The sequence below is a fragment of the Homo sapiens genome, chromosome 16 (genome assembly GCF_000001405.40).
Source record: "Homo sapiens chromosome 16, GRCh38.p14 Primary Assembly".
In the NCBI taxonomy this organism is placed as follows: Eukaryota; Metazoa; Chordata; class Mammalia; order Primates; family Hominidae; genus Homo; species Homo sapiens.
In genome coordinates this window covers 27,303,430-27,319,863 of record NC_000016.10, presented here as the reverse complement: position 1 = coordinate 27,319,863, position 16,434 = coordinate 27,303,430, and the positions used below count along the sequence as shown (strand labels likewise).

Here is a 16,434-nt window from a genome sequence, read left to right as displayed (position 1 = left end):
ACCCAGATCCCTCACATGTGCAGTTCACAAAAGGGTTTGTGCTCCTGTGAGAATCATCTAATGCCTCAGCTGACCTGACAGGTGGCCGAGCTTGGGTGGTAATGCGAGCGATGGGGAGCAGCTGTAAATACAGATAAAACTTCGCTCACTCACCCGCCACTCACCTCCTGCTGTGTGGCCCTGCTGTGTGGGGACCCCTGGTCTGAGACACTGAGGAAGGTGCTCATTCATAAAATAATATGTAAAATGATTGGACTGTCTGTAAAATGGGGCTTGGAGGAACCAGTCCTGCGCTGCCCACATTCACAGTATTTCTGGGCAGATGGATGGCAGGGAGTACACCGACAATGTAAAAAAGTGGATCGATCTAAATGGCAGGTGTGTCTTCAGCACTCAGGCATAGATTTTATTGTGTTTAAACACCATGGTGAGGACTGAGGACTCTGGAGCTTCTAGGTTCACAGCCCTGCTCTGCCACCTTCAGGTGTGTGACCCTGGACAAGTCACTGAACCTCTCTGTGCCTCTGTTACTTCATCTGTAACATTTGCATGAGAGTAGCTCCTATCTGGTAGGGTTATTACACAAGTTAAATGAGACAATGCAGGTATCTGGCCCCAGCTCCCTCCCTGACCTCTGCTCCTAGACCTCTTTCTTGTTTGGTTCCATCCAACCACACCAGCTTCCTTGCTGTGGGTCAAACACACCAAGCTCATTCATGCCTCTGGGCCTTTGCACTCTCTGTTCCCACTGCCAGGATCACTCTTTCCCCAGATATCCACATGCCTTGGTATTTCAGGTCTCAGTTCAAAAGCCACTTCCTCAAAGTCACCAAGCCCAGAATGCTTTCAGCTCCATGAGGGCCCTCATTTCTGGGTCACTCATTCCCGTGTCCCCAGCCCCTGGCACTTTGGCTAAGCAAGCGTTAAGCACCTAGCCCCGGGCTGGCACTCGAGATATGTGAGCGCGTGTTACGTTCAACTTTGCTTTGCAGGCGAGAGGCTCTAAGACCCAGAACACAGCCCCTCCCCACCAGGAACTCAATTCCACCAAACCCTTGGAAGGCCCCACGGCTCCTCTTCCCCTCCCGGGACCCACTTCCTCCAACTCCAGATGCAAGCCCAGCTGGGCACCATCCTCGGCCGAGAGGTTACAGCACCCAGGCTGGCTTTAGCGCAGACCTCAGATTTCTTAAGCAAACGAGAAGAGGTGAGGAGGCCTGTGGGGGCACCTAAAGAGAGAATGAGTCAGTCAGAGCTAGACTTGAAACGTAAGAGACATCAGCACTTCTTGGAAAGGCAAGAACGGACGCATTTAGACAGAACTGTGCATGCAGAATGAGGGGTAAGCACAGGCCAGTCAGGAAGTGGAGTCTTCCGTCCTCTGTGAGTCCCTCCACCTGGCCCTCTCTTCCTCATCCCTCTCAAATGTCACCTCCTCAGGGAAGCCCTCCCTGATTCCACTTGCACCCAGCTTTGCTTTCCTTCCTAGCACAGTCTCCACCTGATAGGATATTGCAGGTCCATGTTCTCTCCTGTAAAATCCTGGGGGCCAGACATAGTTCAGAATTCAGGATGACTCAGGCTGTAGAAAGGTCACCTTGTATAAAATACCCACCGACATGCCCATCATGCAGGGCGGGAAAGCACCCAAAGATCAATTGCACTAATATCTCTGCAGAAAGACATCTGAGCATCACACCGAAGAGGATGAAGACTCTAAAAAGCCTCAAGTTTAGCTTCAAAATGAGTTATGAAAAACTTTCGGTTTTCAGAAATCGTGGATTTCAGAATAACAGATAAAGCTGCCGATCTGAACATATGTATTGGTTGTACATTGCCTGTATGCTCAACTAGAATCTAAACCCCAGGAGAGCAAAGGACTTGGTCCGATGCTCTGGCACATATAGGTGCTCAATAAATTCCTGAGGAAGAAATGCAGGAGGAAGCCAGGTGCTGGATACGCAGAAGGGACTCGGTCCAAAATGCAGAGAAAAACAGCAATCACTGAGCGCCTTCCAAGGGCAAAATGTCTATACAAACTATCTCATGAATGCTCTCCCTGCAAACACCCATGACAAAACAAAGGGAGGCTCAGAGAGGTTAAACAACTTCCTCCAGATTACACAGTGGAGAGCTGGGAAGTAGCCAGCTCCGATTTAAACCTGGGATCCCCTCTTCAAGCTCAGGCCCTTCTCTCTGCCTTAAGCTCAGAGACGCAGAGCAATTTGCTGGATATCATAAAACAGTGGTGATGCACCCGGTCTGACAGTGGATCCCCCAGCCTCTGTAGCACCTCAAGCCTCTGCCGGGGCGCTCCGATCCACATTCACCAAGGGCAGGTCTGTGCAACCTCCAGACAAGCTCCTGGCCTCTCTTCTAGCCCAGCCATGGTAAGTCTAGCTAAACGTGGCTGGGCATGTCTCCACTGTGCCAGCCAGGAGGAAAACTCAGAAATGTCTTTCTTGGTCACCCCAGTGAACTGGTACAAGCAGGAAAGAATACATGGGAAGAAAAGTAGGATGGAGTCTGTCCCTCAGATGTGGACCTGAGGCAAGGCTACTGCATTCATCTCCGGGTCTCAGTTCTCACCTGCAAAATGAGTGGACTAAATCCCAACCAATAAAGCTCAAAGGAGGCAACAGTAAAGATTTATTCATTTAGGCCAGGCACGTTTGCTCGCATCTATAAATCCAACACTTTAGGAGGCTGAGGCAGGAGGACTGCTTGAGACCAGCAGTTCAAGACTAGCCTAGGCAACATAGCAAGATCCTGTCTCTAAAAATATAAAAACAATTAGCCAGCCGTGGTGGCACACACCTGTAGTCCCAGCTACTCAGGAGGCTGAGGTGGAAGGATTACTTGAACCCAGGTATTGGATGCTACAGTGAGCTATGATTGTGCCACTGTGCTCCAGCCTGGGAAATAGAGAGAGACCATGGCTCTAAAAAAAAAAAAAAGGTATTCATTTAACAAATACATAGTTTGTACTACATACCAGGTACTGTTTTGTATGCTTGACATATATTAACTCATTTAGTCATCACTACAATGGCATAGTCACTATAATCTCATAAATGCAGAAACTGAGGCTCTGGGAAGTCAGTTACACAGTAAGCAGCAAAGCCAGCATTTGCACTGGGTGATCTGGCTCAAGTCCATACTGTCACTCCCCAGCTATACGTTTTGACAGGTAACAACAGACATATACATTGATTGTGGACCCACTGGGTGTTGGACATTGTGTGAAGTAGCTTATAAAACATGTCATCAACCCTCAAGAAAGTTCACTTTTACAAATGTGAGGAAGAACAGTACTTAGGCGGCTTCTGTCCTGGCCTCACTCCCAGGTACCAGTGAGGGCAGTCGAGAGGTGGGGCATCTAATCCCAAACGCTCTCCTCCATCGTCCCAGATGGGGTGGGTGGAAGAGGGCAGGGAGATGGGGGAGGTAGAAAAGGTTCTCTCTTCTCATGTATTTATGTATTTGTTTATTTTGAGACAGAGTCTCGCTCTGTCACCCAGGCTACAGTGCAGTGGCACAATCATAGTTCACTGCAGCCTTGACCACCTGGGCTCAAGCCATCCTCCCACCTCAGCCTCCCAAATAGCTGGGGCTAGAGGCACCTGCTACCACGCCTGGCTAAGTTTTTAAATTTTTTTTGTAGGAACAGGATCTCACTATGTTGCCCAGGCTGGTCTCAAACTCCTGGGTTCAAGCGATCCTCTCTCAGCCTCCCAAAGTGCTGGGATTACAGGTGTGAGTCACTGCGCCCAGCTTGTCACTTCTTTGACAATTCATTTCAGCTCCTTTTTGAACTGGGAGCATTAGAAAACTGAACACCCCCACCCTTGCCCTGGGCATTTTGCAACCGGGATTGTATTGTATTAAACATATCAGTCATTGAGTCACTTCCTAGCATTTGGAAACCCTTAGGTTATCTCGGACCTGCCGGTAACTGCATGTGTTGTAAATGGGGTGAGTGACTGCAGGTTTTCCTCCCTGCTGCCTCCCCAGCGTCTCCCTCCAGATTCAGATCCAGAGGCCCAGGGTGGGGCCCAGGAATCTGCATTGTTGCTTTTACAACTCAAGCCAAGGTGAATACACTGGCCCAAGTTCCTTGGCATGGCATTCAAGGCTTTCCACAATGCAGCCCAGCCCAACTTTCCATCCATCTCTGGCTTCTGCTTACTCCCTAGGTTCTGTACACAGTGCCCTTTCACACTTCCCAGCCTCCGCCCACTCTGTGCCTCCCTTTACCTCCCATCCTCTACCTGCCAGACTCCCCTGCTCTACTCACAAGGCTAGCTCAGGGTCCCTGGGTGCTGGGAAGCCTGGCCCAGTGACCTTTGAAGAGCTGATCCCCTCTGGCTTGTGGTCCTGCAGCCGCTGGTGCATCCGCACCCTCCCAGCCCTCACGTCTGTCTTCCTGCAGAGGGGGTGCTCCTTGAGGCAAGCACCAGTGCCCAGAACACCACCCAGGGCCTCGCAGGAGCTGAATGAGTGCTAGTGAGTGAATGAGTGGCTTAGCAGGTCACCTCCCATTCATGGGCTGGGCTAGCCGAGTTCTAAGAAACCCCTGCAGGACCCTGGAATGCCCTAATGTGCAGGACACCCTGGCCAAACCTACACCTGAGCCTGTTTCCCCATTGGACTTTGGGATTTTGATAAAGGCACTGAGGTCCCAGCAAATGCCTTGGGCTCCTCATAGGCTACTGGGGGCAGGGAAGTGCAGTGGGTCATGCCTCCCAGAGGGCTGGGGAAGGGGAGAGACTAGAACTGGAGCAGGGTTAGCGCTGGCCTGGGGGCATTCCTTGAACCCCAGAAGCAGACAAACTAGTGGTCCCCTATCTTGCTTAAGTCTAAGAAATCCAGATTTTGTTTAAAAAAAAAATCAGGGCTCAGTGGCTCACACCTGTCATCCCAGCATTTTGGGAGGCCGAGGTGGGAGGATCACTTGAGGCCAGCCTGGACAACATAGTGAGACACCATCTTTATAAAATAAATTTTTAAAAATAAAATAAAGATCAGATTCCTGGGTTTACTGAATCTGAATCTCAGGGCAAGGACCTGGGAATCTGCATTTTAAGCAAATCTCCCGGAGATTCTGGTTATTGTGGGGGCTCCTCAAACGTGATTGAGAGATGGAGAGCAGCTGGCTCTGGCGTGGGATTGCCTGGGCTCTAGTCCTGCTGCCCCACGGACTCCCAAGTGGGCGGCACCTTAGGGCAAGTTACTAAAGCGGCTGGGGTCTTGGTGACCTCATCTGTACAATGTCCATGACGCACAGCACCGGCCACAGAGAAGTTAGTGGGAGGTTTCACTTGGCATCCTTTCAGTAAAACAAGTCCCAGTCAATGATCGCGATTATTGGGTCCATCTGATATTCGGAGGCGGAGACCGCCCCGATTCACTGACCTACTACTCAAATTTACAGTTCTCAGAACTTTCCCCACCCTTTCTCTCTCCGAAGTCCTCACTGACTTCCTGAGCGCAGGGCTGGGCGCCACTGCCCGGAGAAGAGGGGCTGCGTGGCCTCCGACAGCCTAACCCCAAGCCCCCCACCCCCGCAGGCCGTCCCGGCGGAGGTCTCACTGCCAGCACCGGCTTTGGGGAGCGCTGGGTGTCCACGTACCCCGGGCCTCGCGCCTCCGCTGCCGTTCGGCGGCAAGGACGGAACCGGGCGCTGCTCCGCGCGCACCGAGAGTCGCGGGCTCGGGCCCCGCTCGGAGTCGGGGTGGTCCCCGTGGTCCCCGCCGGCGGCCGAGCCCTTCCCGAACGCCCTCAGCCGGCGTGCCCGGGCGATACCTTCGCAACCCGATCCGCGCGCGGGCCCCGGATCCTACCTGCGCGCCCCTGCTCCATTCGCCGTCCGGGCGCCCAAGCGGGAAGTGGGGGACCCCTGGGTGGCCCTTCCCTGGCCCGCGCCGCGCGGGGCTTTCCTGGGCGCGGAGACCCAGCCCGCCCCGGCTTCCTGCTCCCCGCCCCGGCGCCCGGCAGATTTGCATGCGCCGCCCCGCCCGGCGCGCCCGGCCCGGGTCCCGGCCACCTCGCGCCCCTGTCGCTGTCCCCGCCGCCGCCGCCGGACAGTCCGAGCCGCCGTCCTCTCCTGGGGGCGACCCCAGCACCTCGCTGGGTGTCTTGCCGCGCGCTTCCTCCCACGCCGTAGCCCGAGGTCACGCCCAGCGGAGAACTCTGCAGTGGATCCCCTTGGTCTCGGAATAAAACGCCCACGCCGACCAGGCCTCCAGGACCTGCTCCTGCCTGGCCTCCGCGGCCTCTTTTGCGCCGGGGCAGTTGCGTTTGGTGGGGGAGGGCTGGGCGACTGGAATCCTCCTCCCCTTCCTAACAGCCCGGCTTCCAAGTGAGAGTGGTTGCACATTCTTCAATAAATGTTTACCCAACTCCTACTCCAGCCACATTTGGATAGTAAAACAGCCCTTCAATCAGTAACTAGTACAATCTGTCGGGCACTGCAAATGTTAACTCGTTCAATCCTGGCAACTACCCTATAAGGGAGTGATACTATCACCGGTTTTACAAATCAGGAAACTGAGGCACAGAGTCCTTAAGAAATTCAAAATGGGTTGGGCAAAGTGGCTCATGCCTGTAATCCCAGCACTTTGGGAAGCTGAGGCGGGAGGATCACTTGAACCCCATAGTTCGAGACCAGCCTGGGCAACCCTGTTAGCGAGACCCCTATCTACAAAAATTGACATTTATAAAATTTTAAAAAAGAAAAGAAAGAAACTCAGAATCACTCTGCAGGTAAGCAGGAGCAGGGGTGGAGCTGGGATTCGAACACAGGCCCCATAGACCATTAACGTCTGGACACCATAAGAACCCGGATGCAGCCAGATGACTGGGGGGAAAACACTCAACAAAGTATTTCAGGTCAGGAGGGCCCAAGAAGAAAGTAGGGACCTCTTAGACCAGTGGGGCAGGTGGTCTGGAAGAGGCTTTTTGAGTAGAGGCCATTTGAGCTGAGACTCTGAAGAGCCTATGGGGGAAGACTTGTGTAGGGAGAGGGAAGAGCTAGTGCAAAGGCCCTGTGGGAACCAGCTCAGCCTGCAGGAGGAATTGCTGAAGGCCGGCATGGCTGTGGAGCCCTGAGTGAGGAAAGAGCGGAGACAGGGGAGGTGGGAGATATTTGGACTCACACTGGGCAGTGCTGAGAACCCAGAGAGTAATTTGACCCCCTGCTGCCCTCAAGGAGCTCTCAGTTTGAGGGTGGAAGCCAAGGACTGCCCAATGGGATCAAGTGCTGTGGTGGAGGGTGAGGGTTGGCTTCCCAGGGCAGGGGCCACTGCACGTCAATCATTCTTTTTTTTTTTTTGAAGATGGGGTCTCATTCCATTGCCTAGGCTGGAGTGCAGTGGGTGATCTCAGCTCACTGCAACCTCCACTTCCTGAGTTCAAGCAATTCTCCTGCCTCAGCCTCCTGAGTAGCTGGAATTACAAGCGTGCACCACCACGTCCGGCTCATTTTTGTATTTTTAGTAGACATGAGGTTTCACTATGTTGGCCAGGCTGGTATCAAACTCCTGACCTCAGGTGATCTGCCTGCCTCTGCCTCCCGAAGTGCTGGGATTACAGGTGTGAGCCACCACGCCTGGCCCATATGTCAATCATTCTTTCATGTACTTGGTCTGTCTTGGTCCTACTGTGTGTCTAACCTTGTGACAAGCGCTGATGACGCAGACCTGAAGACATGAAACAGACACAATCCCTGCCCTCTGAGACCTTACAACCAAGTGAGCAAGACAGCCACCAACCCACCCCCGGAAGTGACAGTAAAGATAAGTCAGTTCCCTGGGGTCAGGGATGGCTTCCTGGAGGAGGTGACCTCTGACCAGTGCCTGAATCAATGCAGAAAAACATGCAGGTGGAAGGGACAGCATGAGCAAATACCTGGAGGTGGCGTGGGAGTGTGGAAAAACTCCCATCCTTCGGCATCTGTTTGTGGATGCCTCCATATGCCAAGTCGTGAGCTGGGGGCTAGGGAGAGCAAGAAATAGATCCAGCCCCTGCTTCCTAGCCCTGAGGACCTGGTTGGGGCACTGACAAGTGAGCAGACGTAAGCAATTGAAGTGAACAGATGTAAGCAATTGAGTGTAATAAACCCCGTACTGGGGGCAGCCCAGGCAGACGCTAAGAGGACTAGGGAGAGAAGGCCACAGGAAGGGCTTTCCTGGAAGCTTGGGTTTCAGGAGGAATAGGAATCCTCTGGATTAGGTGTGACTTCCACTCCCGTCCACACTCATACTCCCTCACACTCATTACTCACACATCCGCACACCCACACGGTTGATGCTTCATCCCAGGCAGTTCAGCCCTGCAAGCTGCCTTTGTCCTGTCTGTGTTTCTGAGTTTGTGCCCCATGTCATCGGGAGACGACAGCAAAAGTCTACCTTTGAAGTCCTTTGGGAATGTATGGCTTGGGCTATATCCCCTCCTGGACTCCCAAACTGGGCTCCCATCCTGTTTTCCCAGTCAAGTCATCCTTCGTCGGTTTCCTCGCTTGCCTCTAGACTGCCGGCATTGGCATACCAACTCTGCTACGTATTGACTATGTGACTTTGGGCAAAGTAGATCATCCTCCCTGTGCTTCAGTTTCCCCATCTGTAAAATGGGGATAATAATAGACCCACCTCATAGGGCTATGAAATGGTGAAATGGCAAGGTACGTATCGCAGTGCCTAGAATAGTGCCTGGCGTGGATTAGGCATTCAAAATGTCAATTGCTGTTCTTATCAGGATGAAAATGAGAAAGAAGCAAAGTCGAAGCCTGTTGCCTTGGTCTGTTGCTTGGTTGTGAAATGGAGATGAACGTGGCATTGAGAAGACAGGCAAAGAAAGCACAGCTGTGGTCAGAGGCTAAGACATTCAGGAAATCTGGGGGAAGAGACTTCGGGAATTCTTTGTACTCTTCTCCCAACTTTCCCGCCAGTCTGAAATTATGTCAAATTACAAAGTTAAAGAAAACAGGGCATTGTTCTCGGGTGCAAGAGAGATAATAAATGTCTTCTTGCATACAGTCCCACTGTTCAAGTTCCTGCCCAAGATGCCCAGACTTTATCTGTGACTGCTCCGTCAGTCCTGGGAGCAGGTCCAAAGGCACCAAGATAGTAAAACCTCTGTTCCCCCATCTAGGGGTTCCCAAGTCTTGCCTCAGTATAAGCTCAATCCTCATTATATCCTAACACGCTTACTTGTTTCCAAGCCTTTCGGTCTTTAAAACTAATAGAGTTTATTTTTTAGAACCATTGTAGATTATGGAAAAATTGAGCCGATAGTACTGAGAGTTCCCATACATCCCTCTCCCCCATGCAAAATTTCCTCTTTTATCAACATCTTGCATTAGTGTGTAGTGCCTTCCTTATAATGCTGATACATTATTATAAACTAAAGTCCATAGCATACATTGTTTCACTGTTTCTCGGGGTTTTGTTTTGTTTTGTTTTGTTTTGTGTTTGTTTGCTTGTTTGGAAACAAGGTCTCACTCTGTTGCCCAGGCTGGAGCAGCCTGGAACTCCTGGACTCAGGGGATCCTCCTGCTTCTGCCTTCTGAGTAGCTTGGGCTACAAGAACATGCCACCACACTAGGCTTTTTTTTTTTTATACTTTTAGAGACAGTCTTGCTACATTGCCCAAGCTGGTCTCAGACTCCTAAGCTGAAGTTATCCTTCCATCTCAGCCTCCTAAAGTGCTGGGATTACAAGCATGAGCCACTGTGCCTAACCTCTGCAGCACAGTTCTGAGTCTTTTTTTTTTCTTTGAGACAGAGTCTTGTTCTGTCACCCAGGCTGGGGTACAGTGGCGTGATCTCAACTCACTGCAACCTGTGCCTCCCAGGTTCAAGCGATTCTCACTCCTCAGCCTTCCAAGTAGCTGGGACTACAGGTGCACGCCTGGCTAATTTTTGTATTTTTAGTAGAGACGGAGTTTCCCCATACTGGCCAAGCTGGTTTTGAACTCCTGACCTCAAGTGATCCACCAGCCTCGGCCTCCCAAAGTGTTGGGATTACAGGCATGAGCCAATGCACCCAGCCAAGTTCTGGGTCTTAACAATGTATAATGCCATGGATCCACACATGTAGCAACAAAAAGAATAGTTTCCCAGCCTGGGCAACATAGCAAGACCCGGTCTCTACCAAAAAACACAAACAAACAACAACAACAAAAAACAGGCCAGGCATGGTGGTGCACTGTAGTCCCAGCTACTCAGAGGCTGAGGCAGGAGGATCCCTTGAGCCCAGGAGTTCGAGGCTGCAGTGAACTATGATCATGCCACTGCACTCCAGCCTGGGCAACAGAATGAGACCCTGTCTCTAAAAAAAAAAAGAAAAAAATAAAGAATAGTTTTACTTCCCTAAAAATCCCCAATTCTCTACCTATTCTTCCTGGATTCTGGAAACCACTGATTTTTTTACTGTCTCCATAGTTTTGCCTTTTTCAGAATGTCACGTAATTGAAATCAGAAAGTATGTAGTCTCTTAATACTGACTTCTTTTACTTAGCAATATGCTTTTCAGGTTCCTCAATGTCTTTTCCAGGCTTCACACCTCATTTCTTTTGTGGCTGAATAGTGCCCTATTGTATGGATGTACCACAGTTTATCCATTCTACCTATTGAAAGACATCTTTGTTGCTTCCAATTTTTGGCAATTATGAATAAAGCTGCTATCAACACTCATGTGCAAGTTTTTGGGTGGACATAAGCTTGCAACACAATTGAGTAAATACCAAGGAGCACAATTGCTGGATCATATGGTAAAAGTAAGAAAGTTTGGCAATAAACTGCCAGTGTCTTCGAAGCTAGCTGTAACATTTTGCCTTTCTATCAACAAGTGAGAGTTTCCATTGCTCTGTATTCTTGTCAGCTTTTGATATTGTCAGTTTGAGGATTTTAGCCACTCTAGTAAGTGTATAGTGGTATCTCATCATTGTTTGCAATTTCCTAGTGACTTAAGATGCATATGTCAATGTTTGCAAATTAGGAAATTTGCAATTTCCTAATGACATATGATGTTGAACATATTTTCATATGCTTTTTGCCATCTGTATATCTTATTTGTTGTCTGTTGATATGTTGTGCCCATTTTTTAGTTGGGTTACTTGTTTTCTTATTGTCGAGTTTTAAAATTCTTTGTGTATTTTGGATACAGGTCCTTTATCAGACATGTGTTTTGCAAAGATTTTCAAATTTAATATAGTTTTCAATTTTCATAAACTCCAAACCACCAATTTTTTTTCTCATTCCTGGATTATACTTTTAGTGTCATATCCAAAAACTCATTGCCAAACCTAAGGACACTGAGATCCAAGATTTTATCCTATGATATCTTCTAGAAATTTTATAATTTTGTATTTTACATTTAGGTCCACGATTTATGTTGAGTTATTTTTTGTGAAAGGTGTAAGGTCTGTGTCTAAATTTATTATTATTATTTTGCATGTAGACATCCAGTTGTTTCAGGAACATTTGTTGAAAAGACTATCCTTTTCCCACTGGATTGCCTTTGCCTCTTTGTCACAGACCAGTTGACTGTATTTGTGTCAGTATATTTTGGGGATCTGTATTCTGTTCCATTATTCTTTTTGTCTCTTCTTTCACCTGCACCATACTGTCTTGATTACTGTAGCTTTATTTTATAGTTTTAAAGTCAGGTAATGTCAGTCCTTCAACTTGGTTGTTGTTCTTCAGTATTGTGTTGGCTATTCCAGGCTTTTTGCCTTTCTGTTTGAACTTTAGAATCAGTTTGCCAATACTCACAAAATAACTTGCTGGGATTCTGATAGGGATTGTGCTGAATCCGTAAGATCAAGTTGGGAAAAATTCTCCATGAACATGGACTATCTCTCCATTTATTGAGATCTTTGGTTTCATTCATCAGAATTTTGTAGTTTTCCTCATAAAGATCCAGTATATGTTTATTAGATTTATACTTAAGTATTTATTTTTCTTTCTTTTTTGGTGCTAATATAAATGGCATTGTGTTTTTAATTTTAAATGCCACTTGTTTATTACTGGTATGTGGGAAAGCAGTTGACCTTTGTATGTTAACTTTTTATCCTGCAACCTTGCTACACACACTTATTAGTTCCAAGAGGGTTTTTTATTTAATTCTTTAGGATTTTCTATGTAGACAATAATGTCATCTGCAAACAAAGAAAGTTTGGTTTCTTCCTTCCAAATCTGTGTAACTTTTCTTTTTTTCTGTTGAAGAAACCCAAATGGAAGTTTCTGTGTGTAGGGGAATGCTTCTGGGATAAGGTTGGCTTTCCTGACTGAAAGGGTCTTCCTGCTGTGAAACATCTTGCCGCCATGAGAGAAGGCCAAGACAACTGCAGTACAGGAGCACTGACATCTGTGAACAACTGAATCAACCCCAGCAAGAGCTAATATCTGGAATTCTTGTCAGGTGAAGAATTTTCTAGACACAGAAGCCGTGATATCTTTTTTTTTTTTTTTTTTTTTGAGACGGAGTCTTGCTCTGTCACCCATGCTGGAGTGCAGTGGTACAGTCTTGGCTCACTGCAACCTCTGCCTCCTGGGTTCAAGTGATTCTCCTGCCTCAGCCTCCCGAGTAGCTGGAATTACAGGCGCCCACCATCACGCCTGGCTAATTTTTGTATTTTTTGTAGAGATGGGGTTTCTCCATGTTGGCCAGGCTGGTCTTGAACTCCTGACCTCAAGTGGTCGACCTGCTTTGGCCTCTCAAAGTGCTGGGATTACAGGCATGAACCACTGCACCCAGCCCCTGACATTTTTGAGCAGCTGAACCGCACCAGTTGTGACCAACCTCCAGATTCCATGTAACTAGAGAAAATTTAACCTCTGTTTATGTTCCTATTATTGAGTTTTTTGTTATTTTGCAACTTAACAGATCAGACCCAATGGAATTATTTTGAGAGTGGGAGCCATTTGGGAATCATGGCTCAACTGGTTTTGGTGGGTGAAGACACAGGGGTTTGCCAACAACCCGAGTCAAGCTCTGTGGATATAGCCAGGAGATTGTGCAGAGGCTGAGGGTTGACTCCTTGCTTCCACCCTTGGGGAAGAATGATATCCAGTCATATCCCTCTTACCTCTGGCAAATCAGGTTCAACAGATAAACTTTCTCTAAAATAAAATGATGATGTTGACGGTGATGGTGGTGGTGGTGATGATGATGGTGATGATGGTGATGGTGGCGGTGGTGACGATGTTGACGGTGATGATGGTGATGGTGGCGGTGGTGACGATGTTGACGGTGATGATGGTGATGGTGGCGGTGGTGACGATGTTGACGGTGATGATGGTGATGGTGGCGGTGGTGACGATGTTGACGGTGATGATGGTGATGGTGGCGGTGGTGACGATGTTGACGGTGATGATGGTGATGGTGGCGGTGGTGACGATGTTGATGGTGATGATGGTGATGGTGGCGGTGGTGATGATGATGTTGATGGTGGTGGTGGTGATGTTGATGGTGATGATGGTGGTGGTGGTGATGATGTTGATGGTGATGATGGTGGTGGTGGTGATGATGTTGATGGTGATGATGGTGATGGTGGGGGTGGTGATGATGACGGTGATGATGGTGATGGTGGCGGTGGTGATGATGTTGATGGTGATGGTGATGGTGGCAGTGGTGATGATGATGTTGATGGTGGTGGTGGTGATGATGTTGATGGTGATGATGGTGGTGGTGGTGGTGATGTTGACGGTGATGATGGTGATGGTGGGGGTGGTGATGATGACGGTGATGATGGTGATGGTGGTGGTGGTGATGGTGTTGATGGTGATGATGGTGGTGATGATGTTGATGGTGATGATGGCGATGGTCGTGGTGATAATGGTAGTGGTGGCAGTGGTGATGATGATAGTGATGGTGGCGGTGATGATGTTGATGGTGGTAGTGGTGGTGATGATGATGGTGATAGTGGGGAGGAAGATGTGATGATGTTAAGAGCTAACACATATAACCACACTTACTACGTACCAGGCCCTGTTGTAGGCTCTTGTAATATATTAATTAATCCTCACAAAACTCCAAGAAGTAGGTACTGTTATTAGCTCCATTTCACAGACAAGAGAACAGGCACAGACAGGAAAGTAACTCTCTCAAGATCCCATAGCTGTTGAGTGTGAGTGAGCACACTTTCTCAGGAGAAACAAACCTCTCCCAGAAACCTAAGAGATGTGACATATTCACTTTGCTTGTTGCGATAGATATCATTTGCCATCTGGGAGGAGTGCCCACAGAGCTTAGTGTTTCTGGCTGAAGAGCAATAGACTCTTGCCAGCTTACCTCACTGATTTCCAGGAGGAGGAAGAAAAGAGGAAGAAAGGTCATGATTTACACTGGTCTGCAGTCCTGCCTTCCTCTTGGCCATCACAGACAGCTGCCAGAGTTTCCAAAGCTAAATCTCTCACTCTCTGTTGAGAATCCTTCTGAAGCTCCCCATTCCTGAAAAGTCAAAGCAGGATTTCTCAACCTCAGCACTACTGACATTTCGAGCCAGATAATTCTTTGCTGTGGGGGACTTTCTGTGCATTGTAGGATGTTTAGCAGAATTTTTAATCTTTACCCAGCAGATTGCAGAAGCATCCCCTTAGTTGTGACATCCAAAATGTCTCCAGACATTGCCAAATGTCCTCTGGAGAGTAAAAATAGCCCCCAAATTGGAGGCAGAAGGGGAGATGGGCACCCAAGGCAGAAAGAGCAGTGGGAGCAAAGTTTGGAGGTGTACAAGTATACCTTAGGGAGTGCCAGGGGTGGGGCATGCAATGCAATTCATGGTCATATTACAAAAGGTCTTAAACACAGCCTTCAGGAGATGTGGAGCCATTGAAGGATTCCAAACAAAGGAACGAGAGGCTCAGCCTTGAAATTTGAAACAATCCCTCTGGCAGCCATTCGGATGGTGAACCAGAGGGAGACACAACTATTGACTGATGGGTTTGGGGGGCGGGGAGCATCACAATAATTTAAGTGAGAGCTGAGACCCAGAGGAGGGGAGAGCAAGAGGCAGAAGGAGTCTAGGCATGCCAAGATTTCATGGTGGATAAATTCTAGTCCTTTCTAAGAGTGTAAAGGCAAAAATAAAATGTCTGGTCCATGGAAAGTGATTAATAATATTAATTTTGGCCAGGCGCGGTGGCTCATGCCTGTAATCCCAACACTTTGGGAGGCCAAGGCGGGCATATCATGAGGTCAGGAGTTCGAGACCAGCCTGGCCAGTGCAGTGAATCCCTGTCTCTACTAAAAATACAAAAAGTTATCTGGGTGTAGTAGCGGGTGCCTGTAATCCCGGCTACTCAGGAGGCTAAGGCAGGAGAATCGCTTGAGCCTGGGAGGCAGAGGTTGCAGTGAGCCAAGACTATACCACTGCACTCCAGCCTAGGTGACAGAGTGAGACTCTGTCTCGAAAAAAAAAAATTAATTTCTTCTCCTCCAGTTCTGTGCCATTGTTGACATGATTCCCTGGGCTGGCTGTGTGCTGCCTCTTTTTCTCAGCCTGCTGAAATCCCCCTCTCCTTGAAGGCCTGTGACTTCCTGAGTGGAGCCTTCTTCAGCCTTCCAGACAAGCTCCTTCCTGTTTACCCGAAGCACATTGGATAGGTGTCCAGTATATTGTAATTCTAAGTGTCTGTTTTCTCTATTAGACAGTCAGCTCTTTGAGTGCAGTGACTTTATCTTGTTCATTTATTCCTTGAATCAGTGTTTCTTGAGCACTTACTATGTGCCAGGCACTGTGCTAGATACTGTGATATAGCTGTGAACAACTGTGTTTATCCTCAGAATCTACAGAGTGCATGGCATACTTAAATGCTTATAAATGTTTAGTGAATGAATGAACAGGTGGATGGATGGATGGATGGATGGATGGATGGATGGATGGATGGATGGACAATGAAGTTATCAATGTGGCTGAGACCTGGAGAGGTTTAGTGAGTCACCCATGACTGCCCAGGAAGTGGCAGAGGAGGAGCTGAAGCCCCAGACAGTTAAGGGACTAGTTCTTGGAACAATGGGGCTCCCCTAGAAGGTTTTCTATGGTCCAAGAACAGCCTCACCTGTTTGCAGGACGACAACCTGTCAGCTCCCAGAGTTCTTCCTTTTCAGCTAGTTGGCTGAAGCCGCAGAGATTGTTTATAGTGGATTTGGGTAGCTTGTCTCCCATGTAGATTTGTCCCGTTGTTGCTCGGCAAAAGCCCTGCTTTGCCCCTGGGGGCTACCTCCGAACCGCCCCTCTCCATTCATATGTCGAGATGGGGCTCCGTGCCCAGCCTAGGACTGGAGCATGTGGCCCGAACCTAAGTCAACTAGTACACCGGTTTCTCTGGACACAGTGCCACAGAGCTTGGTCAGAGGTAAGCATGTTACTTAAATGCCCCAAGCTATTCCAGTCAGGGTGAATCTTGAGACTTTGTGGGATTTCTGGGAC

At 48.7% G+C, this 16,434-nt stretch overlaps 1 protein-coding gene across 9 annotated transcripts in view, besides 8 other annotated features; it reads right to left on the bottom strand.

Annotated features, from left to right (window-relative positions):
* The window catches only part of IL4R (interleukin 4 receptor), a 51,023-nt gene extending 44,915 nt beyond the window's left edge, over positions 1-6,108 (bottom strand). For 4 of the 9 annotated variants that reach the window (NM_000418.4, NM_001257407.2, NM_001257406.2 and 1 more), the window contains exon 1: positions 5,844-5,890. The gene's annotated coding sequence lies outside the window, so the exon portion shown is untranslated. Of the gene's footprint in view, positions 1-4,297; positions 5,211-5,632; positions 5,891-6,046 lie in introns of those variants that run through there. The other 5 variants (XM_011545826.3, XM_011545825.2, XM_017023211.2 and 2 more) reach the window with 3 other exon arrangements.
* Positions 489-538: a silencer, noted in NCBI's record as "silent region_7303". NCBI's record gives its function as "represses an Ori minimal core promoter by ATAC-STARR-seq in GM12878 lymphoblastoid cells {active_cell/tissue: GM12878}" and the evidence as "EXISTENCE:reporter gene assay evidence [ECO:0000049][PMID:35858748]".
* Positions 900-1,099: an enhancer, noted in NCBI's record as "active region_10615". NCBI's record gives its function as "activates an Ori minimal core promoter by ATAC-STARR-seq in GM12878 lymphoblastoid cells {active_cell/tissue: GM12878}" and the evidence as "EXISTENCE:reporter gene assay evidence [ECO:0000049][PMID:35858748]".
* Positions 5,150-5,199: a silencer, noted in NCBI's record as "silent region_7302". NCBI's record gives its function as "represses an Ori minimal core promoter by ATAC-STARR-seq in GM12878 lymphoblastoid cells {active_cell/tissue: GM12878}" and the evidence as "EXISTENCE:reporter gene assay evidence [ECO:0000049][PMID:35858748]".
* Positions 5,640-5,849: a silencer, noted in NCBI's record as "silent region_7301". NCBI's record gives its function as "represses an Ori minimal core promoter by ATAC-STARR-seq in GM12878 lymphoblastoid cells {active_cell/tissue: GM12878}" and the evidence as "EXISTENCE:reporter gene assay evidence [ECO:0000049][PMID:35858748]".
* Positions 5,870-6,169: a silencer, noted in NCBI's record as "silent region_7300". NCBI's record gives its function as "represses an Ori minimal core promoter by ATAC-STARR-seq in GM12878 lymphoblastoid cells {active_cell/tissue: GM12878}" and the evidence as "EXISTENCE:reporter gene assay evidence [ECO:0000049][PMID:35858748]".
* Positions 5,870-6,677: a biological region, named in NCBI's record as "H3K27ac hESC enhancer GRCh37_chr16:27324508-27325238".
* Positions 5,947-6,677: an enhancer, noted in NCBI's record as "H3K27ac hESC enhancer chr16:27324508-27325238 (GRCh37/hg19 assembly coordinates)". NCBI's record gives its function as "activates a minimal SCP1, AML or CMV promoter by ChIP-STARR-seq in naive H9 embryonic stem cells {active_cell/tissue: H9 hESC(naive)}" and the evidence as "EXISTENCE:reporter gene assay evidence [ECO:0000049][PMID:30033119]".
* Positions 7,500-8,699: an enhancer, noted in NCBI's record as "CDK7 strongly-dependent group 2 enhancer chr16:27322486-27323685 (GRCh37/hg19 assembly coordinates)". NCBI's record gives its function as "activates an origin of replication core promoter dependent on BRD2, BRD4, P300/CBP, MED14 and CDK7 cofactors, with strong dependence on CDK7, by STARR-seq in HCT116 cells {active_cell/tissue: HCT116}" and the evidence as "EXISTENCE:reporter gene assay evidence [ECO:0000049][PMID:35650434]".